The sequence below is a fragment of the Homo sapiens genome, chromosome 1 (assembly GCF_000001405.40).
Source record: "Homo sapiens chromosome 1, GRCh38.p14 Primary Assembly".
In the NCBI taxonomy this organism is placed as follows: domain Eukaryota; kingdom Metazoa; phylum Chordata; class Mammalia; order Primates; family Hominidae; genus Homo; species Homo sapiens.
Window position 1 is genome coordinate 163,923,433 of NC_000001.11, and position 643 is coordinate 163,924,075.

The 643-nt window shown below is 34.2% G+C and overlaps 1 pseudogene; it reads left to right on the top strand.

The window, feature by feature from the left end:
* The first annotated feature begins 237 nt into the window (after nucleotides 1-237).
* LOC124904671 (uncharacterized) lies at nucleotides 238-441 on the top strand (annotated as a pseudogene).
* The last annotated feature ends 202 nt before the right edge of the window (nucleotides 442-643 follow it).

A 643-nucleotide genomic window follows, 5' to 3' on the forward strand; every position in this document is an offset into this window, starting at 1 on the left:
ATATAGATCTTCTGTACAACATTGTGCCTATAGTTAACTGTATTATGCATATCAAGTGTTCTTACTACAATAATAATAACAAAAATAAAGCACCATTATGAGCCAAGAGGCAAACTACCTGTTAGAAGAAGATATTTGTAATAAATATAGTCAACATAGGACTCATGACCTGTATATATAAGTAATTACTACGTATTAATAGAATAAATGCAGAAGAATTCCAATAGTGTATATCCAAAGACTATTCTTTCAGGGATCATTATGCGAGAAGTTTTTCTGAATGCCTAAAGAACCAGAAAACCATGAGGACAGACAGCAGCATTTTCTCCTGAGCTTGAAGCTGGCTCTTGGCACTGGTTTGCTGCAACTGCCGTTTGCCATTGCTGATCATTTTTCTCTTCCTTTGGGAGAGTGAGGGGAAGAGAATGCAATCTGAGTGATATTTCTTAAAAGAGGAAAAAAAGACCAATAATATATGAAAAGGTGCTCAATTCTATTAGACATCAATTAAAATCACAATAACTTAAATACACACCCACCAGAATTGCTTACCTGAAGAAACCAAACCACAACAAAACAAAACAAAGAAATCATCTGACAATACTAAAGTTGGTGGGAATGTGAAGCCATTAGACATTTTATA